The sequence below is a fragment of the Homo sapiens genome, chromosome 4 (genome assembly GCF_000001405.40).
Source record: "Homo sapiens chromosome 4, GRCh38.p14 Primary Assembly".
Taxonomy (NCBI): domain Eukaryota; kingdom Metazoa; phylum Chordata; class Mammalia; order Primates; family Hominidae; genus Homo; species Homo sapiens.
This window is the reverse complement of record NC_000004.12, coordinates 6,501,962-6,529,909: the sequence shown is the minus strand read 5'-3', so window position 1 is coordinate 6,529,909 and position 27,948 is coordinate 6,501,962. Positions and strand designations below refer to the sequence as shown.

The 27,948-nt window shown below is 49.6% G+C and overlaps 1 protein-coding gene across 4 annotated transcripts in view, besides 5 other annotated features; it reads left to right on the top strand.

The window, feature by feature from the left end:
- Positions 1 to 27,948, top strand: part of PPP2R2C (protein phosphatase 2 regulatory subunit Bgamma) — a 243,219-nt gene that overhangs the window by 33,890 nt on the left and 181,381 nt on the right. The window contains exon 1 of one of the 4 annotated variants that reach the window (XM_047415892.1): positions 866 to 888. The exons of the other annotated variants lie outside the window; for them this stretch is intronic. The gene's annotated coding sequence lies outside the window, so the exon portion shown is untranslated. Of the gene's footprint in view, positions 1 to 865; positions 889 to 27,948 lie in introns of those variants that run through there. 4 annotated transcript variants of the gene reach the window in all.
- Positions 24 to 910: an enhancer, noted in NCBI's record as "NANOG-H3K27ac-H3K4me1 hESC enhancer chr4:6530727-6531613 (GRCh37/hg19 assembly coordinates)". NCBI's record gives its function as "activates a minimal SCP1, AML or CMV promoter by ChIP-STARR-seq in primed H9 embryonic stem cells {active_cell/tissue: H9 hESC(primed)}" and the evidence as "EXISTENCE:reporter gene assay evidence [ECO:0000049][PMID:30033119]".
- Positions 911 to 1,798: an enhancer, noted in NCBI's record as "NANOG-H3K27ac-H3K4me1 hESC enhancer chr4:6529839-6530726 (GRCh37/hg19 assembly coordinates)". NCBI's record gives its function as "activates a minimal SCP1, AML or CMV promoter by ChIP-STARR-seq in naive H9 embryonic stem cells {active_cell/tissue: H9 hESC(naive)}" and the evidence as "EXISTENCE:reporter gene assay evidence [ECO:0000049][PMID:30033119]".
- Positions 1,799 to 2,686: an enhancer, noted in NCBI's record as "H3K27ac-H3K4me1 hESC enhancer chr4:6528951-6529838 (GRCh37/hg19 assembly coordinates)". NCBI's record gives its function as "activates a minimal SCP1, AML or CMV promoter by ChIP-STARR-seq in naive H9 embryonic stem cells {active_cell/tissue: H9 hESC(naive)}" and the evidence as "EXISTENCE:reporter gene assay evidence [ECO:0000049][PMID:30033119]".
- Positions 2,687 to 3,574: an enhancer, noted in NCBI's record as "OCT4-NANOG-H3K27ac-H3K4me1 hESC enhancer chr4:6528063-6528950 (GRCh37/hg19 assembly coordinates)". NCBI's record gives its function as "activates a minimal SCP1, AML or CMV promoter by ChIP-STARR-seq in naive H9 embryonic stem cells {active_cell/tissue: H9 hESC(naive)}" and the evidence as "EXISTENCE:reporter gene assay evidence [ECO:0000049][PMID:30033119]".
- Positions 2,994 to 3,288: a silencer, noted in NCBI's record as "tiled region #1138; HepG2 Repressive non-DNase unmatched - State 21:Repr". NCBI's record gives its function as "represses a minimal TATA promoter and a strong SV40 promoter by Sharpr-MPRA in HepG2 cells {active_cell/tissue: HepG2}" and the evidence as "EXISTENCE:reporter gene assay evidence [ECO:0000049][PMID:27701403]".

The following is a 27,948-nucleotide window of genomic DNA, read 5'->3' as shown; positions in this document are numbered from 1 at the left end:
GCTGTCCCCTCCCAGTCTCCTGGCCATTGTCATCCTGGGGGAATCCTTGTCATGGGAGGCCTTCCCAAGCAGAGAAGTGAGTGGTCCTCACCCACTGTTCTTCATTTCACATACATTTATTGAGCATCTGCTGTGTACCCAGCCCTGGGTCAGTGGCTGGGGCCACAGCAGTGGGCAAAGCAGACCTAGGGCTCACGGTCTAGTGGGCAGAGAGATGTGGGCCCTCTCAGCCTCGCCAATTTTCCCTCTGGGAGGACTGTGCCAGGGAAGAGGGATGGGGGATGGGGTAGGGGCTTTGGAGTCAGTGGAGCTGCATGTGAACCGCAACCCAGTGGCTTTCCAGCACTTCCATGGGGGCACAGGGCTGAGCTTCAAGAATCCTCAGTTTTCTCATCTGCAAACTGGAGGTGTTGGCACCCACCTCACTGGGTTGTCTGGAGGCTAATGGTTGATACGTTCCATGGGGCCCATGCAGCTTGGCTCATGGTGTGCACGCATTGACTATGAGCCCCCTGCTGGCTCCCAGCCTGGCCGCTTAGGTGGGCGGCTCAGGTGGTGCCTAGAGGAGAGGCCAGGGCTGCAGGGGAGAGGCCAGTCTGAGGCTCTTTGTCGTGTGTGAAATCCCTGGGTTAATCCCTGGCCCTGCCCAGAGCCTGAAGTGGGAGCTCCTGCGTCGCTTCCTTGACCGTGAGCCTTTGCTGGCTGACTAGGCCTCTGCTTCTGCTGCCGATGAGGCTGCCAGATGTTCAGGCCTACGGCCCAGCAGCCCCTCGTCCTCCAGCTGCCCCCTTCCCTGTCCCTGTGAGGTCCCAGCCAAGCCATCTGCCTATGGAGACATGAATAGGCCAGCTCTGGGCTGCTCTGAACCTGGTGATGGCAAGAAATAAAGTAAGTTTAGTGCGCGTCCGTGTGAAGAGACCACCAAACAGGCTTTGTGTGAGCAACAAAGCTTTTAATCACCTGGTTGCAGGCCGGCTGAGTCTGAAAAGACAGTCAGCAAAGGGAGATAGGGGTGGGGCCGTTTTATAAGATTTGGGTAGGTAAAGGAAAATTACAGTCAAAGGGGGTTGTTCTCTGGCGGGCAGGAGTGGGGGTCACAAGGTGCTCAGTAGGGGAGCTTTTGAGCCAGGATGAGCCAGGAGAAGGAATTTCACAAGATAATGTCATCAGTTAAGGCAGGAACAGGCCATTTTCACTTCTTTTGTGGTGGAATGTCATCAGTTAAGGCAGGAACTGGCCATCTGGATGTGTATGTGCAGGTCACAGGGATATGATGACTTAGCTTGGGCTCAGAGGCCTGACAGTAAGGATGGGTGATACGTTGGGCTTTGGTGGCCAGATCTGTTCCTGAGTCTCCCTGGCTGTCAGAACACACTGGCTCTCAGACGCCAGGGTCAGATCTGGTGACTGGGGCTCCAGGCAGTTTGGGTCGAGTGGAGGAACGCTCTCTGATGATTCATGAGACCTTGCCTAGGTCTGCAGGATCCTGAAGATTCTGAGGCAGGGCGCTCACCAGCTCAGGCAGCCACCCTTCAGCTGTCCCACCTTGCCTGGGCCTGAGCACAGGCCCTGGAAGCCCCTGTTCAGGACATGTTCACAGGCAGGCAGGAAGGGCCCTCCCGGCCCGAGCCAACACCCTTCACCCCAGCTCCCCGCACAAGCTGGCCTTCCGGAGAGCCAGGGCGGGCTTTGCAGGCCGGGAAGAGGAAGAGATGTTTGCCCGGGCAGGGGCCGAGGACTTCCCAGGCCGAGGGTACAGGGCAGGCAGCAGCCTGAAAACACGGGCCAGTTTCACAGCCCGTAACCAGGTGGTCACACAGGGCCCCGAACTCAGAAGGGCCCACTGGGGTGGATGCTCTGCGCTCACCGTCCTGAGATTCTTCATCGTCTTATCCTGGGCTTGGTGTTCTATAAGTGGAGTTGCTGGGACCGTGGATCATGTCCTGGGGCTTGGAGTCTGGGCTCACGGGCTGTGCCTCCTTTGTCCCTTCCCCAGCTCCTGGGACAGGTTCTCAGCTGCCCGCTCTCCTCCTGCTGGGGCCCCAGGCCCTGCCTTCTGTCCAGGGTGGCAGCCAGGTCACTTCTCGGGTGGCCATTGCTCAGGGGTGGCCTGTCCTCCATGGGCTGAGGTGGTGGGGCCTGTGGGAAGGGGGCCAACATCTCTGTTCCCGGCTGGGGCCCCATATTTTGGTTTTGCACCGGGCCTGGAAAATTCTGGAGCCAGTCTTGCCTGAAGAGAGGTGCATTCTGGAAATGGCCGGAGTTCCATGTGGCCAGGGCATAAGGAAGCTGGGGTGGTGCCTGGAGGTGGGGTGGGGTCGGGCGGGGTTACCCAGGCCTTGGCAAGTCCCTGGCAAGCTGTTGAGGAGTGGGGCTGTGTTCTCATGGTATTCTCATGGCACATGTTGGTTGGGGCACTTGGCAGGTCCATGCACCTTGGCCACAGAGGCTGCATGGCAGGGAGGTGACTCACCGTCTGGGGCACCAGGAGAAAGAGAGAGGGGTGTTCTGTTCCGCCTGGCACTGCTCAGGGGTGCACAGCAGCTCTGTGGGTTTATCTCACACCAGACTTTTCTTAGAGCCAGAAATGGGCAAGGACTGGAGGCAGCTTGTCCGGTGCATTCCTTCTAGCGGGGTAAACCGAGGCCCTGAGAGGGGACAGATCCCCGCTCCCTGGCCAAGGTCGCTCAGCGAGTTGGTAGCAAATAGCTAATATTAAGCCAGTTCGTTTGGAATTCTAGGCAGGAATGGAAATATTTCAATGGCACAGATAAAAAAACTGAGGCTCAGGGTGGCTGAGGCTGCCTGGGATCAAGCGATTTACAATGGAGCTGAGATTCAAACCTGCAGCTCCCGACACCAGCCTGGGCTCCTTCTCCTCCGCATTGAAGCCGTGGTTGGCGTCTCCCACTCTTTGGGATCCTGGAGTAGGCTAGTGAGCAGCTGGGGAACTCGGGGCTGGAGTGCGAGGGTGGATGGGTGGGTGGCAGGGCTGTAACAAAGCCTACCGTGATGGCTGTCCCCCTCCTCAGGGAATCAGGCCTGATTGCACTTAATGAGGCTGGTGGGGAGGTGTTGAGTTTGCATTTTCTGCTCAGTGGGAGGTGGCCATGATGCATATTCATTTATGCAAAACCAGGGTTGGTTCTCTGCACCCTCTCACCCCTCTACCTCTTTCTTCCTCCAATTGGGTCGCTGGAGCCCAAAGACCAGCCCCCGGATTCTCTCCCTCCTTTGCCAGCTTTCAGCCCCAGTAACAGGCCAGGGAGATGGATGGACATTCTCGCTGCCCAGGGCCAGGCAGGCACTGCGCTCAGGGTGCCCTCAACATGGAGCGTTCACGACCACCCCCTCTTCTTTTCTTTTCACCAATTTAACCATTTTAGAGTGCACAGTTCAGTAGCATTTAGTATATTCATGTTATACAACCATCACCACTATCTAGGCCCAGAACATTTTCATCACCCCAAAAACAAACTGTTAAACTTGTCAGCTGAAGAATTGCCAGGACCACACACTGAGCGCCGAGAGCTTTCTTCCTCATGAAGGGCTGCAGCCTGCAGGCTGGCTAACCTCAGGCTGGGAAGCATAGCCTCTGGCAGGAGCCAGAAGCAGGCATTTCCAGGAAGGGAATTTATGATGAACGGGTTAGCTAAGTATATGTATTCAACAGGCTATAGGAAGAGCTATGAATATTCACGGAGACGTGTGTGCATTTGTCATAAGCTAACATGTATGTTACATGCATCCTATGTTGACTTTGGGGTAGAGACTTAATATGTAAGTATTACAGTCAGGGCCCTACATGTCAGAAGGTGAAGCAGAGGACGGGAAGAGCCTCTGTGCAGCCTCTGTAGATGAGCCAGAACCATTTCAAGATCAGGACTCTTATCAAGAAGGAATGCTGGGCTGGGCAACGTGGCTCACGTGCTGTAATCCCAGCACTTTGGGAGGCTGAGGCGGGCAGATCATGAGGTCAGGAGTTCGAGACCAGCCTGGCCAACATGGTGAAACGCTGTATCTACTAAAAATATAAAAATTAGCTGGGTGTGGTGACGAGTGCCTGTAGTCCCAGCTATTCGGGAGGCTGAGGCGGGAGAATCACTTGAACCCGGGAGGCAGAGGTTGCAGTGAGTGGAGATCGTGCCACTGTACTCCAGTCTGGGAGACAGAGCAAGACCTACCCTCCCCCATCCCCCCAAAAAGGACAGTCTGTGTTGAAACTGAAAAAGAAAGGGGCAGCCCTGAGTGGTTGGTTGGAATCAGCAGTAGGGCAAGGCTTTCGAAAGGGCTGGTTTCTGCTTAACCCTTAAGAGGGAAAGCATAATGGCATTTAGCGAAGGAGGGGGTATAATGCAGTGTGTCTGACCTCCGGTCCCATTGTGGCCTGGAACTCAGGTTTTTTTTTAAGGTTTCTCTGGAGTCCGTTTGGCCAAGAGGGGGTCCATTTAGTCATCTGGGGGTGGTTAGGATTTTATTTATTTATTTATTTATTTACTTATTTTGAGATGGGGTCGCACTCTGTCGCCCAGGCTGGAGTGCAGCGGCACAATCTTGCCTCACTGCAACCTGAGCCTCCTGGGTTCAAGAGATTCTCCTGCCTCAGCCTCCCGAGTAGCTGGGATTACAGGCACATGCCACCATGCCCGGCTAATTTTTTTATTTTTAGTAGAGATGGGGTTTCACCATGTTGGCCAGGCTGGCCTCGAACTCCTGACCTCAGATGATCCAACCATCTCGGCCTCCCAAAGTGCTGGGATTACAGGTGTGTGCCACCACGCCCAGCTTTTATTTTTATTGTTTATTTTGTTATTTATTTATTTGGAGAGAGTGTCTCACCCTGTCACCCAGGTTGGAGTGCAGTGGCACCTTCATAGCTCACTGCAGCCTCAACTTCCTGGGCTCAAGTGATCCTTCTGCCTCAGCCTCTCCAAGTAGCTAATTTTAAAATGCTACCATGTGTGGCTAATTTTAAAATGTTTTTGTAGAGATGGGGTCTTGCTATGTTGCCCAGGCTGCTCTCAAACTCTTGGGCTCAAGGGATCCTCCCACCTCAGCCTCCCAAAGTGCTGGGATTGCAGGTGTGAGCCACTGTGCCCGGCCTATTTTTATTTTTCAAACTAAATGAAATTTAGCCTGAAGATGCCTCTGTACATGAATCCTTTCTTAATGAACTGCAACCTAACTTAGTTTGTGATTAACGGAAGCCTGACTTAGGAGGGGCTCTTGTAACAAATAGGTGAAGCTCGGCCCAACCACAGCAGCTGAGCATCTGTCAATCCAGTCCCAGGTGGCCAACCATTCAAATAAGGCAAAGGCTGAGCTGTAACCAGTCAAGCTGTCTTGACCCTCTCTTCCGTTTTGTGTCCATAAATGCTGCCTGATCACGGTGCAGACGTGGATTCCTAGACCCTGTTCTGGTTCTGAGAGCAGCTGATTCGTGAATCGTTTTTTGCTCAATTAAACCTTAATTTTAACTTGTCATACTCAGTAAGCAGTCACTCCCATTCCTCCTCCTTCTAGTCCCTGGCAACCATGAGTCCACTTTCTGTTGCGGTGAATCTGCCTGTTCTGGACAGTGCATGGAAATGGAATCATGCAGTTCACTTACATTCAGCTTCTTTCATTTGGCCGAGTGTTTTCAAGGCTCATCCAGGATGTAGCTCGCATTAGAACTTCATTCCTTCTGACTGGGCACAGTGGCTCACGCCTGTAATTCCGGCACTTTGGGAGGCTGAGGCAGGCTGATCACTTGAGGTCAGGAGTTCGAGACCAGCCAGACCAACATGGTGAAACCCTGTCTCTACTAAAAAAAAAAAAAATACAAAATTAGCCAGGCCTGGTGGCAGGCACCTGTAATCCCAGCTACTAGGGAGGCTGAGGCAGGAGAATTGCTTCAACCTGGGAGGCGGAGGTTGCAGTGAACCGAGATCACGCCATTGCACTCCAGCCTGGTCAACAAGAGCGAAACTGTCTCAAAAAAACAAAAACAAAAACAAAAACAAAACTTCATTCCTTCTCCGGGCTGAATATGTTCCACTGTATGAGTGGACCACATTTTGCTTATCCATTCGTCTGTGGATGGATGGATACTTAGGGTGTTTCCATTGTTTGGCCATTATGAATAAGGCTGCTGGGAACATTCGCGTTCCAGTGTTCATGTGGATGTGTGTTTTCAGTGTTCCGTGATAGACACCCAGGAGTGGAATTGGTAGGTCACAGGATAATTCCAGGTTTAATTTGTTGCGGCGGTACCAAGCTTTTTTTGCGGTGGCCCTGCCGCTTCACCTGCCCCCAGCAGTGTGTGCAGGTCCCGCGTCTCTCCCAACAGCCAACACTCGCTTTGCATTTGGATTCCAGACATCCTCGTGGGTGTGCGTTGTCTCATTGTGACTTTGATTTGGATTTCCCTAATGACTCATCACGTTGAGCAACCTTTCCTGTGCATGCTGACCATTCGGTGAAATGTATGTGTCCAAGGCCACTGCCCATTTTGAAATTGGGTTGTTTGTCTTTTTGTTGTTATCATCCATGAGGAAAACAAGGATCAGAGAGGGTGAGTAACTTGCCCCAGGCCACACAGCAAGAAGGAGGGAAGACAGCCTTAGAAACCCAGTGGGCCTGACTCTGAAGTCTTGTGTTCTTTCTTTCAAACATAAGGGAGCTGGTGGTTGGGGCTAGGGAAGGCCTTTATTTCCTCTGGAGCAGCTGCTTGGGATGCATCCTGGATTTCTTGCCCCTCCGCAGCACTTGCCCCTCTGAGGGCACAGTCCTTGGACATGGTTCTCAACAGGACACTCCTGGGGAATGTGATCAGGAGGCCCTGGAACCGCACTTGGAGAAACACTGGCTTGGGGTTTGCCATAGGACGTATGACTTCTTGACCCAAGGCTTGAGTTCGGAGCCTCCCCGGTCCACCCCTGCCAGGCTGCTGTGCATCTGCGGCCTGCCCCTCTCCCTGCCTCAGCTTCCTCATCTGTGTAATAGTGAGAGAGGAATGGGATCCCACAGTGCTTAGAAAGCCATTAGGAGTATCAGGGGATGGTCCCTATTGGTGTGTCTGTCTGTTTGTCTGTCTCCCTCCTGGGCGGAGTGCCTCCAAAGTGGGAGCTGTGTCTGGCTCAGCAGATATTAGCCAAGAACCAGGGGCCAAGGAGAAGGGCCCCAGGGCAGACCCCTGCTGAGACCTCAGCATCCTGTGGTATCAGAAACTGGTGCAGCTGGTCCCTCCGTGCCCTGTGGCCACTTCTGGGTGCTCACGCAGCCAGCCCCTGGGCCCACATTTGAGCAGAACTCAGTGCTCAATGTGGTTCCTGTGGGGGAATCCACCATGCCCGGTGACTCCGGGGGCCCCAGCCCTGCCATCCCCGTGTGGGGAACATGGGGCTGGAGGGAACACAGGGTGGGAATTCTTGGAGCTCTGGAAGCAGGTGCTTGGGAAGCATGAGGGTCTTGGAATCTCAGGTCTGGATTCACTTGTGTCCCCAGCTGTGGGGTCTGGGGGGGCACATTGTGGACCTCGCCAGCCTCAATTTCCCACCTCTACAGTGAGGATTGGTAATGCCCGGGAGTGCTCCCAGCACGGCTGGGGTTATGTTCATTTGAACAACTACTGAATGACATCAGCCTTCCTGGGTACTTACATTTTGGGGTCTCAGAAAAGGGTTAAAGGCAGCAACTTTCTGCCTCTGTTGGAGTCCCAGATACCCTCTTCCTGGGGTAGGGCAGACTCCAGGCCAAGGGACCAGGAAAGGCAGGGAGAAGGCAGGAGAGTGGGTGGGAGGGAGCTGTGAGTGGCCGGGAGAGTGCAGGCAGGAGCGGTGCATTTCACAGAGACAGGCCCATCGGGTGAGGTTTGGAAACAACACTTCTCTGTTCCCAGAGCTCAGTGGCCCCCACTTGTCATGGCCCCCAAAGCCATTGGCTTAGGGGCCCCCTTGCCTCTTGGGGAGAACAGAACCCAATAAGAGCAAAGTAGTCACCGCTGGAGGCAGGTTTAGTGGGTGGCTCTGGAGGCAGATGGCCTGGTGTGCTTCCCGGCTCTTCCGTGAGCTGTGCCTCAGTTTCCTCATTTGTAATATGAGGGTAGCAATAATTCCTCCCTCATAGCTAGCTCTTGGATGGTAGTAAATGCTCACAAATGGGCTGTTCTGCAGATGCAGTGTGTGGCAAGGGAGAGTGGCCCCCTGGAAAGGGGACCGGTGGCCAGTCCAGGGGAAGCGGTACCAGCTCCTGTGTAAGTGCCTCCTACGTATGAACTCACATCACCTCGAGGGAGGAGAGGAGGGCCCTGGAGGGGTGGGACGTGGGTTAGGGCTCCTGAGACGACTCCTAAGAAGTGCATACGCAGGGAGATGAAGCCACACTGAATGGGTGGGCTCCTCTCTGGAGCACTGGGAGGAAGCCACTGTGTGGGGTGTCCCTTGTTAGGGCCTTGAGGGGGCTCAATGAATGGCAGAAGCTTCTAACCCACCTGAATGATACATTGAAGTCCCCGCTTTCTGGCTAGATCATGGGAGAGGGGAGCCCTGGTGAATGAGAAGATCCTGGAGGCAGTTGGTAAAGAGTGCGTGTCTAATTGATGGTAGCTCATGTGAGCAGTGGTTTACGACCAGCTGAACACAACATACAAGTGGCAGGATAAAGCCCCAAAAGCCCTCACCAGCAGGTTTGCCTAGGGCACAGGGCTGGAACTGGGTGCTGTATTTGCACATTGGAGGCATCCTCTTCCTTCAGACAACATGCAGTGGTGGGCACCCGGCTTGGAGTCAGACAGACGCTGTGGCCACCGATGCTGTGTGGCCTCAGGCTGGTTACTTAGCCTTTTCGAACCTTACTTTCCAAGCCTTGTGCATTTCAGACTCTGCTAATTGAGGGAATTGAATTTGCTCCTCATCTGCATTCTGTCCTATCAGGATAAGGAGGTATGTAAGCCCCAGAGGTCATGGTGATAATTAACAAGAACAATGGACAAAGAATACAGAAATCAGTCTCCATTCGGCCACTTCCCAGCCCTGGGCACTTTGCCTCCTGCACTTCAGTTTCTCTGTGTGAAACATGGCTGATAACTCCAGCCTTGAGAGTTGCTGGGAAGAATCTGTGACCCGATGCAGGGAAGACTGCAGGCATACCTGGGCACGTGGTGGGCCTTGCATAAATGACAGCCACACCACAGCTCCCAGGCTCCAAGCTCAGTGCTCTCCTGTCCCTCTCAGCCCCTGCATGGCATCCTGTCTCCAAAGTGGAGGTGAGGAAGGCTGCTGTTGGGGAGTGTGGAGCTGCGAAGCTCATGCCATACACCCCTTGGACTTGAATCACACAGGGCTGCCAGTTTTTATTGGTTTTGGGCTGTGCTTTGTGCCCTGGGGATGGCCCTGTCATGCTCTGTTTCAGGCAGCCCCTCGCCTGTGTGTGACGTGGGTCATTTGTCACCCTGACAGTATTGACAGGGCTGCTGCTGGCCTGGGATGGAATCCACTCTGCTCAGGGCAGTGCCTGAGAGATCTTGTCCAGAAGGATGTGGGACAGTGAGCTGCTCGGGGACAGAGTTGCCCTTTTTTTGGGTATAGACCATGCTACCCCCTGCGGTAATGTTGGCTGTTGACAGAGGACTGCTGTGAGCCCAGCCCGGGCCGGAGCCCCGCTTGCTGAGTGTCCACTCCGTGCCTCCCTCCTCCTCTGCACATCTCCCACCCTGGGGCAGGCACCATTGTCATTCTTGAGGTTCTTAGGACCCCTCTCAACTCCCCAGCGTACCCCTTCATCCACTCACCCCCTGTAGCCAGAGCCATTGGTCTAACCTATGAATCTGATCCTGTCCCTCTCTGCCTGTTAAAGCGCCTTGGGGGCTCCCTGGGGAATAACACCCAGCCCGTCCTGTCACTCTTCTGTCCCCTCTGAGGGTATCATGCCCTCATTTCAAATAACCAGGCAGAATTGCAGGGGCAAAGCAGCTCACCCCAGGTGGTGAGATATATATGAGCAAGCCAGGACTTCTGGTTACCTGACTGCAAGCCCACACCCTCATCTCAGGCCACTCTGTCTCCTCCTTCCTTTTCTGCAGTTTTGTGTCTCTGTGGATCACTTTCAGGTCCTTCTTGCTCTCCCACACTGGTGTTTGAGGGGCTTGGTTGCTGGCACACAGCATGCATATCAGTATTGCCTGGAAGAGGGCAGGATCTCCCACCCTCTCCCTGTTAGCTCCTCTGTTACCCAACTTGCTTATTTATTCATTCATTTAATGAATATCATTAAGTGCCTGTTTGTGAATAGGTGCGGACAGAATGGGGCTGAATGTACATGCCTCACCACTGAGTAGTGGAGGCACAGAATTATCAAATGGGCAAGGGAACAGCAGATGCAAAGGCCCTGTGGCAGGAGGCAGCATGGCCCAGAGGCCTGTGTGGCTGCAGAGGAGAGGGAGGCTGCATGACGGGAGCTGGGGCTGGGGAGCTAGGCATGGGCCTGTCCCGTGGGGCCTGGGTGGACTTTTAGGGTTTTAGCTTTCTCTGTGGCTCTCAAAAGCATGGGGCCTGGCTCTGTTCTCCCTCCTCATACCACAGGGACTATTTTGGCTTGCACTGTGATTTATCTCTTCCTACCACAGTTCCCTTCTTTCCTAGGTGCCGTGGGGGCTCTCATATGACTCCAGCACTAGGCAAGCCCTGTAACCTAAGGCTCCTAGAAACTTGGTCTCCCAACATAGCTGGGGGCCCAACACAGCTGGTATTCTAGGGGAGTCAGAAGGGTGGATGGTGGCAGAATGCTCCCCTCTCAGGAGTCTGCTCACTATCCTCTCCATTCTGTCTTCTGAAAGAGATGGTGGAGAATTGCTATAATTTCTTCCTTAAATATTTGTTAGAATTCACCAGTGAACCCATCTGGGCCTGGTACTTTCTGTTTGGGAAGGTTATTAAATTGTTGGTTCCATTTCTTTTTCTCTTTTCTTTTCTATTCTTTTTTTTTTTTTTTTTTTTTTTTTTTTTTTAAGACAGAGTCTTGCTCTGTTGCCCAGGCTGGAGTGCAATGGTGTGATCTTGTCTCACTGCAACCTCCACCTCTCGGGTTCAAACAATTCTCCTGCCTCAGCCTCTTGGGTAGTTGGGACTACAGGCGTGTGCCACTATGCCTGGGTAATTTTTGTATTTTTAGTAGAGATGGGGTTTCACCACATTGGCCAGGCTGGTCTCAAACTCCTGACCTCTGATGAGCCACTTGCCTTGGCCTCCCAAAGTGCTGGGATTACAGGCCTGAGCCACCACACCTGGGCCATTTCTTTAATAGATATAGGCCTATTTAGATAGTCTATTTCTTATTGTGTGAGTTTTGGCAGATTGTATCATTTAAGGAATTGGCATTTCATCTAGGTTATTAAATTTGTGGGCATAGAGTTGTTCACAGTGTTACTTGATTATCCTTTGAATGTCCATGGCATCTGTAGTGATGTATCCTCTTGCATTTCTAGTATTAACAGTTGTGTCCTTCTCCTTTTTCCTTGTTAGCCTGGCTGGAGGCTTATTAATTTTATCGATCTTTTCAAAGAACCAGTTTTTGATTTCATTAATTTTCTCTGTTGATTTCTTGTTTTCAATTTTATTTATTTATGCTCTAATTTTTATTATTTTCTTGTGTTTACTGTGGATTTAATTTGCTCTTCTTTTCCTAGTTTCCTGAAGTGGAAGCTTAGGTGCTTGATTTTAGATCTTTCTTCTTTTCTAATATGTACATTCAATGTTATAAATTTCCCTCTAAGCACAGCTTTTGCTGCCTCTCATAAATTTTGATAAGTTGTGTTTTCATTTTTAATTAGTTCAAAATACTTTTGAATTTCTCTTGAGACTTCTTTGAGTCATGTGTTATATAGAAGTGTGTTGTTTCAATCCTCTCCATTCTGATACTGTCAGGTGGGGTTTTTGCTTCTTTTTCCGCTTTGCATGACAGACTCCCTTCTGCCTGGAGACAGATTTTCTGGCCTCACCTGGGACTGTGCACAAGTCATTAGCTGAGCCTCAGTTTTATCATCTGTAGAGCAGGGGGCAAAGTACCAACTTCCCAGGTAATATGGACCTGGAGAGTTTGTAGGTAGGGGAACTGGTATTGGAACCCCTGTCTACCTGGCTTCCAGACCCCAGTATTTCCCCTTCTTCCCACACTGGGCTCCAAGGTGGGCCTCCAGGCTCAGCATGATGGACTGTTGAAATGATAAATGAAAGGAAGAGGTGCATCAGGGGAGGGGATGCATTTCTGTAGGAAGACATCCCAAAGAGCCGCAGGGTAATTTCTTCTGTCTTTTTTTTCCTAGTTGTGCAGGCCGGGCCCTCTCACCTCTTAGAACCTCAGTTTCTTCATTTGCAAAATGGGGAAAATATGTATTAGAGATGGATAATAACAGCAGCACCTGACGTGTAGGGAGTACTTTGCACATGCCAATTTCCACTGTCACTGAGATCTTCATGTGGCTTCTGGGAAGTAGTCCCTCTTATCATTGCCACTTCACAGAGAAGAGAGTGAGGCTCAGATAGGCTAGGTAACATGCCTGGGCTCTCCTAGCTACTGAGTTGTCCAGCCAGGTTTTGGACCCAGATAGGCTGACTCCAGGGTGAGCTGTTGGGTTGAGATTCAGTTGTGTGCCCAGCATGGTGCCTTTCACACAGGGCAGGTGCCGGGCAAGGTGTGGTTCTGGGGAGTCAGCATCACAGGGGAAGATCAGTCCTGTCCCTCACTCAGAGACCCCTGTCTACCTTCTGCCAGGCGAGCAATCTGGTGGGCTTGCTGGGAAGGAGGCCACATATTGGCATCAGGGTCTCCCTCCCGCCTGGGGCTGGTGAAGGGGAAAGCCACTCACAGTTATTCCTGGGAGTGTGGGCGTGGGAGGAACCCACTGCAGCAGGGCTTTTTAAAGAAAACTCTGCCTTGTCTATAAATATCCTCCTGACGTGTCCCCAGTTCCTGAGCTTCTGGGACAGTGAGGCAGTGCCCTGCCTACATGCCACTCGCCAAGACTGCTGAGTGATTTCGCAGTGGGAGGGAGCTTGGGGTCAGCTGGGGCGGGGTTTCATGAACCAGTGACATCTCCCACAGACACTCAAGGGGACTGCATTGCGCCAACTGTTTATATTGCCAGGTGAGGACTAAAAACAGGATCCCTTATGATCACTCTCTTGTCAGATATGAAATGTGTTAACGCCAAAGCATGTAGAAAAGTAAAGTGCAGGCTAGCAAATGGAATATTTTCTTTTAAATGAAAAACTCGCTGCAGGGTCCATGCTGTTCTAATTCCTCCAGAATTTTATAGAAGCCACGACAGGCAGCACACGCTCACAGGGCCTGGGAGGAGGAGTCATGGGCCCGGCAGTACTGCCCACACCTGGGGCAGGGTGGACAGATGGACGGATGGCCTGGTCCAGGAGCTGGGCATCCTATCAGGCCCTGCGGATGGGGAGTTAAAGGCTAGCCAGGCCCTCTCTGAGGTGCAGCTTGCTCAGCTGCACAGAGGAGTGGTGGTCCTCACCTTGCAAAGCAGCACTGCGGGTAAGACGAGGCAACGGGCAGGAATTTGCTGTGCACACAGTCCTTGTCATCATCCTCTTTTCAGGCTGCAATGCCAAGAAACTCTCCCAGGATGGTCCTGGAGCCCCCAGGGCAGGGTTCTGGGGATGTGTGGAGGACGATGGGCAGTCAGGACCACACTGTGGTGGGTCCTAAGGACGCCTGCCAGAAAAACATCACGCATGTGGATAGGAGTTGAATTGCATCACTCCCCTCACCCACCACCAAATACTTGTTGAAGTCCTAATTCAGTTTCTCAGAATGCGACCATATTTGGAAATAAAGTATTTGCAGATGTAGTTAGTTGAGATCAGGTCATACTGGAGCAGGATGGGTCCTTAACCCAACATGACTGATGTCCTTATAATAAGAGGAGAGGAGACACAATGACACACACAGGAGAACTCCTTGTGAGGACAGAGGCAGAGATTGGATGCTGCAGCTACAGGCCAAGGAGCACCAACCATTGCTGGCAATGCCGGAAGCTGGGAGAGGTGAGGAAGAATCCTCCCCTGGATCCCTGGTGGCTCTGCCGGACACCTCGATCTTGGACTTCTGGTTTCCAGGACAGCTTTACAGTACTTTATTATGGCAGTGCTAGCAAACAAATACAAGCACCTAACTTAGTGCTGGCATGCAGTTGGAGCTTGATAAATGCTTGCTGAATGAATGATATTTATTGAGTGCTTACTACATACCAGGCAATAGGCAAAGGGATTAGATGATAGTTAAAATTTCTCGTGTGTTTATATGCAAGGCATTCTTGTAAGCACGTTAGAAGTACTCACTCATTTAGTCTGCATGACAGCTCTTTGAGGTGAGTACTCTGTGGTTCTCTTTTTGTGCATGAGAAAACCAGGACACAAAGAGATGAGTCTCTTGCCCAGGGTCACATAAACAGCTGAGTTGAGATCCAAACCCCATCAGTGTTAACTTCCAGGCTCTTGCTGGTTAGCCCTGCAATGCTGCCTCCCAGCCTTTGGCCTGGCACAGAGTAGGTGCTTGGGAAATGCTCACCATCCAGTACTTGTTGAATGCTCTTCCCAGCTGTGCCAAGAAGGTTCTGGTTCTATGAGAGTGTTCGGTTGTCAAACAAGAGAAGTATTTTGCTCTCTTCCCCAGTTTGCCAGAGCCTCCAGTTGACTGGTTAAGATTTAACCATTAAGAGCTGATTTGATTCTACCTTTAAAGTGACCAGCCGCCACCTGTATTAGCATCCTGTTGTGGGTGGAATTGTGTCCCCTCAAAAGATATGTTGGGGTCCTCACCCCTGATGCCTGTGAATGTGGCCTCATGTGGAAGTTGGGTCTTTGCAGATGTAATCAGGTGAAGATGAAGCAGGACCTACTAGATTAGGGTGGGCCCTGATCCAGTGACTGGCATCCTTAGAAGAGACACAGTCATACCAGGAGAAGGCCACATGGTGATAGAGACAGAGATTGTAGTGATGCAGCTACAAGCCAAGGAGTGCCCAGGCTTGCAGGCAACACCTGAAGCTGAGCTAGGCGTGGAGCAGACCCTCTTCTGGAGCCTTCAGAGAAGGCATGGCCCTGCTGACACTATGTTTTCAGATTTCTAGACTCCAGAACTGGGAGAGAATATGATTCCGTTGTTTGGGGCCACCCAGGTTGTGATGTTTTCATGGCAGCCCTAGGAAATGAATATCCACCCCAGGCATTGCAGAGCTGACCTGTGCTTGTCCTGCACTAATTTCTATCCCACATTCTTTGGGCATATTCCAGAACCCGGTGTCTGAACCTCCCCAGCATAATAGTTCAGACCATTGGAACAATCTCTTTTTGAGTTCAGAGCCTGTGGGAGGTGAGTCCTACAAAAACCAAGGGCCCTGGGGCCAGCCACTGGGGGACAAATACTCAGCTCCACTCCTTATCAATGCTGAGACCTTGAGCCAGCCAGGTCACATCTTTGATCACCAATCACCTCTTCTATCAAAGTGGCCATAACAAAATTGCCTTGAGACCTGTGAGGGTTAAAGGGGGATAGATGTACAAATACCTGGGCAGTACCTCGTCTTACCTGGTCCTCAATAAATGCTACTTGAATTGAACCAAAGAGAATACCAACTCCTCCACTTGGTTCATTTAGTAAATGAAATGAAATTTCTGTTAATCTCATAGGTTCACAAAATTGAAAAGATTGGTTGCACAACATTGTCACCTGCTATTTAGATACATAGGAAAAGAATAGCTAAATTATACCAGGTTTTGTACCTTCTGAAAAAAAAAGTCAAAGGACGGTAAATTATTTTTTCCTTACATAAAATGAATTCGGTGCACATGAACATGGTTCTGCTTTTGTATTCTTCAGCTTCCTAAATATATGAGGCCCAATTATACACCCCATCTGTATTTGAACATTTTTAGCATGCCTCAGAATTAGTGTTGATTTAATTTATTTCCACCAGAGATTTGCAAAATATTTCCTTAAGTTATTCTGAACCGGAGGTGATTCATTCAAGGAGAGAGTGGGTGGTGTCTTCAGAGTGGGTGCTCCCCACTGGAGAAAACTGAGCCAAGTGGGGAGGAGATGGGGGCCTCTGGGGGCCCTTCCCTGGCCTGCCCACCACCCCTTCTGGGGTGTGGCCCAGTGCACGCCCTTTTCATGGGTCTGCACTGCTGATGGGGGAGCACAGCTGAAGCTCCCTGGTTGGGCACAGATGCCCTTAATGAACTGGTCCAGGCTTGTTCACCCTCATACCTGACCTGTCCCTTTCATACTCACCCTACCTACTTGAGACTCCTCCAGCTCATCAGGGAGCTGCACAAATAGGGTCTGTGCATGGCAATTGCTGGCTTCTCAGGCTGGTTGGCATGGCCCCTCCCTCGCAGTGACTGGCAAGCCTCTTGTTTCCTGGGAAGCCTTTCTGTGGCTCACTCTTCACCCCCTGTTCCACCCCTGGGAGGACCCTTCTCTGGGGCTCCCCAGACACACACTGTCTCTCTGCCTCTGCCCAGAGACCATGGCTTCCTCTCCATGCACCAGCACCACTGCTCCTTGAAAAGAAAACAGCATCTCTGTGCCCACTCTTTGGACTGACTCCATCGTATTCCAGGGCCTATTTGTTAAACTGGATGGAAAACCAAAGCCTGTAGGGCTGTAATTTATTCATTAATATCTTAAGTTTTCAAGATTAAACATATTTACTGGGTAGATGCTTATTAAATGCTTGTGAATGAATGGATGAGTGAGTGAGTGAATGTATAAATTACGTGTTGTCCTTTGGTAAATTTTCTAGCTTTATGATATAATCAAATTATCCTGGCTGCAGCAAGTCTTTAAAAAGCCCATATACTTAGAGCAAAATTAATTGTATTGTTAAATAAAATTCCCCAAGATGCAACAAAGTGCAGTGAAGTATTTTTTTTTATCCTGATATGTGGACCAGCTAATGCTGTTAAATCAGCATTTTAAATGTGTGGTTTTATTGGGTCTGATTTCACTGGGTTTTATCATAAGATGAACCATTTGCTTTTGAACTGAATTGAACTGAAACCTACAGCTATTGGGCCCTTATCATAAAAGTGTCAAGTGCCACCCTGGACACTGTTATGTACATTATATCATTGTGCAGACCCTGGCCCAGGTGAGGTCTTATCCTCACTGCCACCATTGGCATCATTGTAATTATCAACACTCTCACCATCATCACCACCACCAGTATCACCACCACCACCACCACCACCACCATCAGCACCATCACCACCATCACCATCACCACCACTACCACCATAATCACCACCACCACCATCACCATCACCACCATCACCATCACCACCACCACCACCATCACCACCATCACCACCATCACCATCACCACCACCACCACCAACATCACCACCACCACCACCATCACCATCACCACCACTACCACCATAATCACCACCACCACCACCACCGCCACCATCACCACCACCCCCACCATCACCACCACCACCATCACCACCACCACCATCACCACCACCACCACCACCACCACCACCATCAGCACCATCACCACCATCACCATCACCACCACTACCACCATAATCACCACCACCACCACCACCGCCACCATCACCACCACCCCCACCATCACCACCACCACCATCACCACCACCACCCCCACCATCACCACCACCAACACCACCATCACCACCACCATCACCACCACCACCACCACCATCAGCACCATCACCACCATCACCATCACCACTACCACCATAATCACCACCACCACCACCCCCACCATCACCACCACCACCACCACCACCACCACCATCAGCACCATCACCACCATCACCACCATCACCATCACCACCACTACCACCATAATCACCGCCACCACAACCACCACCATCACCACCACCACCACCATCACCACCACCACCACCACCATCACCACCACCACCACCACCACCAACACCAACACCACCATCACCACCACCATCACCACCACCACCACCACCATCACCACCACCACCACCACCACCACCACCATCACCACCACCACCACCACCACCACCATCACCACCACCACCACCATCACCACCACCAACACCACCATCACCATCACCACCACCATTACCACCATCACCATCACCACCACCATTGCCATCACCACCATCACCTCCACCACCATCACCACCATCACCTCCACCACCATCACCACCATCACCTCCACCACCATCACCACCATCACCACCACCATCACCACCACCATCAACACCACCACCACCACCACCATCACCACCACCACCACCCCCATCACCACCACCACCACCACCGCCATCACCACCACCACCACCACCACCACCATCACCACCACCACCACCACCATCACCACCACCACCACCACCATCACCGCCATCACCACCAACACCGCCATCACCACCACCACCGTCATCATCACCACCACCACCGTCACCACCACCATCACCACCATCACTGTCACCACCACCATCACCACCATCACCATCACCACCATCACCGCCACCACCACCATTACCATCACTGTAGTTATCAATACTGTCACTATCATCACCACCATCAATACCATCACCACCACCATCAGCATCAGCATCAGCATCAGCATCAGCATCAGCATCAGCATCAGCATCACCAGCGGAACGACTAACATGTACTGAGCACTCACGCCATGCCAGGCATCGTTCTAAGCATTTTGCGTGTTTTTCTCATGTAACACTCACTAAACCGCATGCAATGGGCGATTATTATCTCCATGTTACAGATGAAGAAATTAAGAGAAGGACAAATTCAGGGACAGCTAGTGAGTGTTGGAGACAGAAATCAAATAAAGTTCCTCTTATTCATTCATTCAACAAACATTTTCTGTTTTTTTTTTTGTTTGTTTGTTTTTTTTTGTTTGAGACGGAGTCTCACTCTGTTGCCGAGGCTGGAGTGCAGTGGTGTGATCTTGGCTCACTGCAACCTTTGCCTCCCGGGTTCCAGCAATTCTCCTACCTCAGCCTCCTGAGTAGCTGGGAATACAGGTGCCTGCCACCATGCCTGGCTAATTTTTTGGATTTTTAGTGGGGACATTGTTTCACTGTGTTAGCCAGGATGGTCTCTATCTCCTGACCTCGGGGTCCGCCCACCTCGGCCTCCCAAAGTGCTGGGATTACAGGCGTGAGACACCGTGCCCGGCCTCAACAAACATTTTCTAAGAGGGCCTCCTCCGTATCAGGCACATTTCCAGGGGCTGGGCGTTGTTGGGCTGAGAAGACATTCTGGTGTGCGTGTGTGCGTGCGTGTGTATGTGCATGTGTGTGCCTGTTTGTGTGTGCATGCACATGCATGTGGGGCGGGGCAGGGACACAGATAGTGAAGAATAAATGAACAGAAACAATTTCGGGTACATATAAGCACCATGAAGAAGTTAAAACAGGGTGATGGATAGAAGGTGATGATGGAGAAAGGCCATTTGAGGCTGGATGTCCAGGGAAGATCAGAGTAGGTGTCATTTGAACCAAGACCAGAGAACAAGGGTGAGATCTGGGGATGGAGTTTCAGGGAAAGGGATGGTAAGTGCCCAGCTGGTCAGCCTTGCTCCAGGGACAGAAAGAGGCTAGTGAATCTTCAGGGTCCTGAGCAGGGGTGGGGGTGGTGGGAGGTGGTGAAAGGGGGCCAGGCCATGCAGGTTGGAGTTTGGGCTTACTCCATGTAAGATGGGAGGGATTTGAAGCAGGTGGGTGGCATGATCCTGTGTAGGTTTTGTAAGGCCATTTGTTCTGCTGAGTGGAGAATGGATTGAGTGGGGCAGGAATGGAGATGGGGAGACCAGTCTGAAGTTGCAGGTGAGAGATGTGGCTGGCCTGACTATGGTGGTGGCTGTGGAATGAGAGGACGTTAGAAGCACCTGGGACACTTGTGGAAATGACATAGACAAGAATAACAAATCAGTTACACGTGGAGGGTGCAGGAAAGGGAGGGCCCAGGACCCTGGTGACAGCCCCCACCAAGTGCACTTACTGCTCATGTGCATTGCGTGGAGTCGGCCTTGTGACAGCCCAGGAAGGTGGGTGCCATTGTGATCACCATGGAAACCTAAGGAGGGAACTAAGGCACGGAGAGTGAAAGCCACCCAGCTAGAAGGTATGGAGCGTGACTCACAGGCATTCCATGAGTGTTTGTTGAACGGATAAGTGAGTTCAGGGTGGCATAGCTCACAGCTTTGTGAATGGGCACAAGGGCAGGGTTGAGCTCTCTGAAAGGGTGGCTTCGTTGGACTAGAGGCAGACACAGCCACTTAAATGAGATCGTGGTAAGGGTAGATTAGTTTGGTTGGATTTCTGGGCAGATTTATTAAACACACCATTTCCCCTGGTGTAAAGGTTTACCTCCTCACTTATTTATTTATTTTTTTTTTGCCAGAGGCTCAATTGATTTTTTTCATTGCAGTTATTGATTTCTGAATAACATTTCGACTTTTTTTCCCCCTGAATATCTCTTGTGTTTTAGCTAATAAATCTTTGACATGTTGCACTGGCTCTGTGGGTGGAGGGTTATGGGAAGTGCTGAGATGCAGACTGAGATGAAGATACCACTTCTCAAGAAGGGCTGCCAGGCAAGGCTTTCAGATTTCCTCCTTTGTTTTCAAGCTGGAGTGTTTCAGCTTTGCTATTGTTCTTTCCCAACCATGGGAAAATCCAGCTTCATGTACAGTTTGCTGTCTGAGAAGTTCAAGCTGTTTTAAACACTGCGGTTCAAACAATGATCTGATTATCCTTAAGAATCAAATACTGTTAGCAGTGGCAAATCCGTGTGGGTCTGCAGCAACTCAGTGCTCACCTCCTAAGAGGAAAGGATTCGTCTGAGGGGCAAAAGGCAGAGTGAGAGACTGAGGCAAGTTTTAGAGCTGGAGTGAAAGTTTATTAAAAAGTTTTAGAGCAGGAAGAGGGCCAAGTGTGCTGTTTGACCTATGACTTGGGGTTTTATACGTTGGCATGCTTCTGGGATTTTGTGCCTCTCTTCCCTTGATTTGTTTTTTGGGGTGGGCTGTCCATATGCGCAGTGGCCTGCCAGCACTTGGGAGGGGCTGCGTCTTAATGTGTTTACTGAAGTTGTGCGTGTGCTCATTGAGTCGTTTTTCCCTTACCAGTGGAGTTTTCCTAGAAGGTCATACTCCAGTTAAACTCCATCATTTTGCCTCTTAGTGTGCATGTTTGAGCCCACTCGCCCAACTCAGATCCTGTCAGGAAGCTGCTGGTCATCACCTTCAGGTGTTTCTTTTTTCTTTTTCTTTTTCTTTTTTTTGAGATGGAGTCTCACTCCGTCGCCAGGGCTGGAGTGCAGTGGCACGATCTTGGCTCACTGCAAGCTCTGTCTCCCGGGTTCAAGCAATTCTCTTGCCTCAGCCTCCCGAGTAGCTGGGATTACAGGCACCCGCCACTATGCCCAGCTAATTTTTTTTTGTATTTTTAGTAGAGACAGGGTTTCACCATGTTGGCCAGTCTGGTCTCAAACTCCTGACCTCGTGATTCGCCCACCTCGGCCTCCCAAAGTGCTGGGATTACAGGCGTGAGCCACCGCACCTGGCCCCCAGCTTCAGCTGTTTCTATTGGGAGACTGCCTTTCCCTGATGCCAGCTGTAACCAATTATTATTTTAGAGAGACCGTTTAATAACCGCCTGACCATCACCTGATGGTCACCTGACATTCCTCATTTGGGGCAGGCTCTCCTGCCCTGCTCAGTTCTGCCTAACTACCTACTCTAACAATACTATGTAGTTGTTTATTTTTATTTTTAGAGACTGGGGTCTTACTATGTAGCCTAGGCTGGCCTGAAACTCCTGGGCTCCAGCGATCCTCCTGAGTACCTGAGACCACGGGCATGTGTCACTGTGCTCAGCATCAAATGCTACATCATTGTTTTTTGCTCTACAGCTCATCCTAAATTTGATTTGTCGTCTAAGGATTTTCAGAGCTGAAAGGTATTTCAGCAATCATGTTCAACCCTCCCATTTCATAGATGAGGAAATTAAATTCTAAGGAAGAAACATGATTTACCCAGAGGGTCAGAGCTGATCTTGAAGGAGACTGGTTTAGTGAAGACATGAGGAGTGGGCAATTGAATCTTATGTAGTGTATTAGTTAGCTATTGCTGTATAACAAACCACCCCAAAATTCAGTGGCTTAAAACAACCATTGATTTGCTCAAGAGTTTGTGATCTGGGCCAGGCTTAGCTAGTGGTTCTTCTGCTGGTCTCACCTGAGGCTACTTAGTGACTTTTAGCAGTCATCTGGAAGCTCACCTGGGCCTGGGTCATCCAAGGTGCCTCAGCTGAGCTGGTTAGAACAGCTGGAGGCTGGCTCGGCCTCTCACTCCACACATAGAGAGTCTAGTAGGGTAGCCCACCTTCTTTACAGGGTAGCCCAGGGCTGCCAGAGGGCAAGAGTGGAAACTGCACGGACTGTTAAGTCACACAGTAACTTCCATCTCTTCCTATTGCTCAAGGCTTTCCTGCGACGTTGCTGCAGCATCAGTACATTTGCCCAAGGCCTTGATGTTCCCAATGTTGCATGTAGTCAGAGGCAGGAAGGTCTTCCGAGATCACCCAGGCCAAACCTTTTAGTTTATAGCTGGGGAAACTGAGGCTCAGGCCTCATCCTTGAGCACCTGTGCTTTTGTTCCCAGCTGCAGCTTGACATTCTGTTAGATGTCTACACCAGGCATTGCAAACTTAACATGACTGAGATGGAACTTTGGAATTTTCTCTTCAGCCCTCTTCCTCACTGGCATTCCCACTGTCCTGGCTGGTCTTTCCTATCTTAGTTCTGCAGGCCCGACACCTAGGAGTCATCCTTGATCCTCCTCCTAGGATGTCTGAGGCTGCATCATAAGAAGCCATGGAGCTTCCATCCGGTGATCTGGTGATCTGGGTCTTTTGAGTTTGCTCTTAAGATGCTCATCCTGGGGGAACCAGCAGTCATGGTGTGAGAATGGCAACCCACATGGGAGGCCATATGTTGACAGCCCCAAGTGAACTCCCAGCTGATGGCCAGCATCGACCACCAGACATGTGAAAGAGCCATCTTGGACATCCAGCCCAGTTGGGCCTTCAGATGAGTGCAGCCCCCACTGCTGTCTGCAACTTCATGAGGAACACCAAGAAGGAACAGCTCAGCTAAGCCCAGTCAGTCTGCCCAACCACTATAGCAGATGGTAATGAATTGTTTTAAGGGGCTGTTTGTTACACAACAGTAGGTAACTGGAACACCTACTCAGAATCTTTGCTTTCCTATCTCCTGTGTCCTGAAAGTTCTTTCCCTGGATATTTTCATGACTGAGCCCTTCTCATTGATTGCTCTTTGAAGTCACTTCTCAGAGAGGCCTCTTGTGACCTCAGAGTTGGTTTAGTTTTGTGGCTGTGTCCTGTTTCCATGTGAATAAGATCTGTTGTGGAATGTTGGCATAGCTGTGTTCCACGTGACGTTTGTTTTCTGTCTAAATGCCAAAATCATAATACAGAGACCCACGTAAACTTACATGATTTAATAATTTTTAATTGAGGTAGCTATGTTCCGTAAAGTGTACAGATCTTACGTGTTCAATTTGATGAGTTTTGACAAACATGTAACCATTACACAAAATAGATATTGGAAGTTTTTATCACCTCAGAAAAAAATCCCTTGCTCCTCTTTCAATCAGTTGTCCATTATCTTCCCAGCACCACACCTGAAGAGCCAATTATTTCTGCTTGCTGAAGAGCCAACACATTATTTTAGAAGGTCATGTGAGTAGGATCATGTGGTGTGTACTCTTGTGTTTGGCTTCTTTTGCCCAGCATGCCTATGAAATTCATCCACATTGTTGCAGTAAGCAGTATTTCATTCTTGGATTTTATTTTTTATTTTTTTAATTAAAAAAAATGTTTTTGAGAGGGAGTCTCACTCTGTCACCCAGGCTGGATTGCAGTAGCATGATCTCAGCTCACTAAAACCTCCACCTCCTGGGTTCAAGCAATTCTCATGCCTCAGCCTCCTGAGTAGCTGGGATTACAAGCGTGTACCACCACGCCCAGCTAATTTTTGTATTTTTAGTAGAGACAAGGTTTCACCATGTTGGCCAGGCTGGTCTTGAACTCCTGACCTCAAGTGATCCACCCACCTTGGCCTCCCAAAGTGGTGGGATGACAGGCGTGAGCCACCACAGCTGGCCTTATTCTTGGATTTATAAAAATTGCATTTTAATTTATCTATGAGCTTTTAAATCTCTATCTCTGCATTATGTTTTTAATGGTTGCTCTGGGATTATACTATACATCCTTAACTTTTCATTACTATGAAAAGTTTATTAATTTTCCACCACTTTACATAAAGCATAACAATAGGTACCTGTACTTCCTCCTTCATCCTTTTGCTATGGCTATCGAATGGATTATATTGATATATACTATAAACCTCACAATACAATGTAATGATTTTTGCTTTAAATAATTATATGTATTGAATGGTCTTTTATGTTTACCCACATGTTTACCATTTCCAGTGTTCTTCATTGCTTCCTGAAAATCTGTGTTTCCATTCTGAAGAACTTCCTTTGGCATTCTTTGTAGTGCAAGTGTGCTGGCAATGAATCCCTTTAGTTTTTTTAAATCTGAAAATGTCTTTACTTCATCTTCATAATTGAAGGATATTTTCACTGAATATAATATTCTGGATTGACAGGCTTTTTTTTTTCCAAGCACTTTAAAGATGTCATCCCACCGCCTTCTGGCCTCCATAGTTTCTGATGAGAAGTCAGTAGTGGATCAAGTCATTGTTCTTTTGTTTGTAATGTGTCATTTTTCTCCGGCTTCTTTCCAGAGTTTTTCTTTATACTTGGTTTTTAGTAGTTTAACTATGACGTGCCTTTATGTGGTTTTCTTTGTGTTTTTTTCCCTGCTTGAGATTCGCTGAACTTCTTGGATCTGGAAATGTATGTGTTTCACAAAAATTGGGGTCATTTTCAGCCATTGTTATACTTTTGTGCCTCGTTCTTTTGTCACCTTCTTTGACAACAGTCACACTCATGGGAGACTGTTTGGTGTTTGGCCCACAGGTTCCTGAGGCTGGGTTATTATTTTAACTTCCCTCCTCTGTTTTTCAGATAGAGTAAAAATTCTGTCGATCTCCCTTCACTTTCACTGACTCTTCTGGAATTTGTTATCTGCTTTTTAGTATATCCAGTGAATTTTTAAAATTTCAGGTAGTGTATTTTTCAGTTCTAGATTTTCCATTTAATTTATTATTTAGTAGTTTCTATTTCTTTGCTGAGACTACTTATTTTTAAATTCATTATGATTTTATTTTCCTTTACATTCTTAAGCATAGTACAAATAGCTGCTTTAAAATGATTGTCTGCCAATTCCAGCATTTGGGGTCCATCTCAGTTGATTTTTTTTTTCTTTTGGGTTTTATTTATTCTTACATCAATTAATTTTGATTTGTACCCTGAATTTTTGAGCAGTACATTGTAGACACTCTGGGTTCTATTATGTTACTCCCAAGAGTATTGTTTTTTTGTTATAGGCAGTTAAGTTGGCTGTACTCAGACTGTAAAATGTCCCCCTTGCAGAAGGTAGCAGCTAAATCCTCCATTTAATTCTTTTAGCCTTTGGTGGACTGTTTGACATCTGTCCTGAGAAGACAGAGATCTGGGTTGACTTCATACATGGGACTTGGTGCTCCTCATCTTTCTTCCTCCTCATTCCCTGCCAGATTCCAGTAGCCAAGATTGCCCCACATGCTGTCAGCTACTTCTTAAGGCCACTAAGATGGGAGATTTCTATCACAGTTGTAGCTCTCTGAATGGTGCAGGAGGAGGACTGCTCTCAGGCCAACTGCCACAAAGCATGAAACATTTGGTGCTTTTCCCTTCTTACATGAGTTGGCCCCTCCAGTACCCACCTGCTTTTGATTGCCCTTAGGTGCCTTAGGTGGTTACTTTTTATATTTTGTCCAGAGTTCATGGTTGTTATTTGTGGGAGGGTTGGTCTGATAGGACCTACTTTGCATTTCTTAGCATTGCTAGAAGCAGAATTCTCAGTTTTTGTTTTTTTTTTTTTAATTGCCAAGTAGTATTCCACTGTTATGTCTATGCAGTGTACTTGTCCATTCTTTTGCTGATGGATGTTTAGGTTTGCTTACAGGTTTTTGTCTGTTAGGAATGAAGTTGCCATAAACATTATGCATAAGTCTGTATGGACATAAGTTTTTTTCTCTTGGGTCAGTGTCTGGGACTTCACACAAAACTGTCAAATTGGTTATTTATGGGGTCTCCCATGAGCCTGTAAATAGGGGATACAAGGGCTACCGTTCACAGGGAATACTGTCATGAACAAAACACATACAGTAAATAGAAACAGGTCCCATTGGTGTCACCTATACTATGCTAGCAGATGCTGAGTGTCAGGGAGAAAAAGAAGGCCAAGAAAAGTGATGGGAGGGGAGGCAACTGGGCAATGGGCTTCTACTGAAAACTGGCTGGGCAGGGGAGGCTTTGCTAAGAAGGAATATCAAGGGACTCCAGGGTGGTGGCTGAGTGAATGTGTGCATATCTGAGCAACAACATTTTAGGCAGAGGGAACAGTGGCTGCAAAGGCCCTGAGGTGTGGCTGGAGTGGGGTGGGCTGAGGAAGGGAGGAGGTCATGAGGTCCGAGGAGTGCTGGGGCAGGCCATGGGTGGATGACCTGGGGTCCCTGGGCCACTGTGTGGAATCTGGGTTTGCTGCAGTGGACAGGAAGCTGTTAAAGTCTGCAGCAGTGGCATGGATTGGAAGATTTGGACATTAGTTTAAGGAGAGTTGCTCTGGACAGGTGTTGAGAACAGACAGCAGTGAGGAAGGGCTGAGAAGTGGGAGCCAGTGAAGACGCTTCTGGAATGTGCAGCCCAGGGTGACAGCAGTATAGCAGAGGGGAGGGGTGCAGGTGGCAATAGCGGCCGGGTCTGGGATACTGTTTGAAGGCAGAGCCAGGGCATTAGATGTGGGTGTGAGAGAAAGAGGCATCCAGGACATCTCCAAGGTTTTTCGGCTCCAGTGACTGGAGGCCTGAAAATTAGAATAGTGCAAATGTTGGGTATTGCTCGGATAAAATGAAAATAGACCCTCATTGGAAGGAGGGGGTCAGGAAGTGTGCAAAGTCCCTCTATCCTATTACCCTGCCTGGTCTTTTCCAGGGTATCTGGAACTGATTGATTGATTGACTAATTGTCTTTCTAGCCCCCTAGAAGAAATGCCAGGACCTAGCACAGGTTGGGTGTGGCATGTGTGGGAACTCAATAAATGTTATGGAATAAAAGGAAGGAAAAAGGAAGGAAGGAAGGAAGCAGGGAAGGAGGGAGGGAGAGAGGGAGAGAGGGAAAAAGGGAGGGACAGAGGGAGGGCAGGAAGAAGGGAAGGAGGGCAGGGGAGGGACTCACCCGGGGCTGAGGCCACACCACAGTCACCATCCTTCAGACACCCTGCCTGTGTTTGCTTGTTCAGTCCACACAGCTGCACCGTACATCACAGACCAGAGGGGAGATTCGCTTGTTTCTTTTAAGGTGAAGTCCCAGAGGATTTCCCCGGCATATGGAAAGCCCCTGTGGACTTCAAGTTAGGCTCAGTTGTGGCTTGGCTTGACGGTCCCCAGTGACCAAGAAGCATAGCTCCCGAAGGTGGGACTCATTTACCCCACCCTGAGGGGCTCTGATCACAGATATGCTTATTCTTACATGGAAAAGAAACACATTGCATCCATTCGTCCTCATCCCCTAGAAACCCACTCCCTATCCTGCTCCAGATCGCGTGGAACAGGCTGGTTCCTAGTGCTGTTTGGTGGCCCTTTAGACACCTGAGGACAGAGACATGCCCCTGGGCATCTTTTTTCCAGACCAAATCCTCTTCCATCTCCAATTCT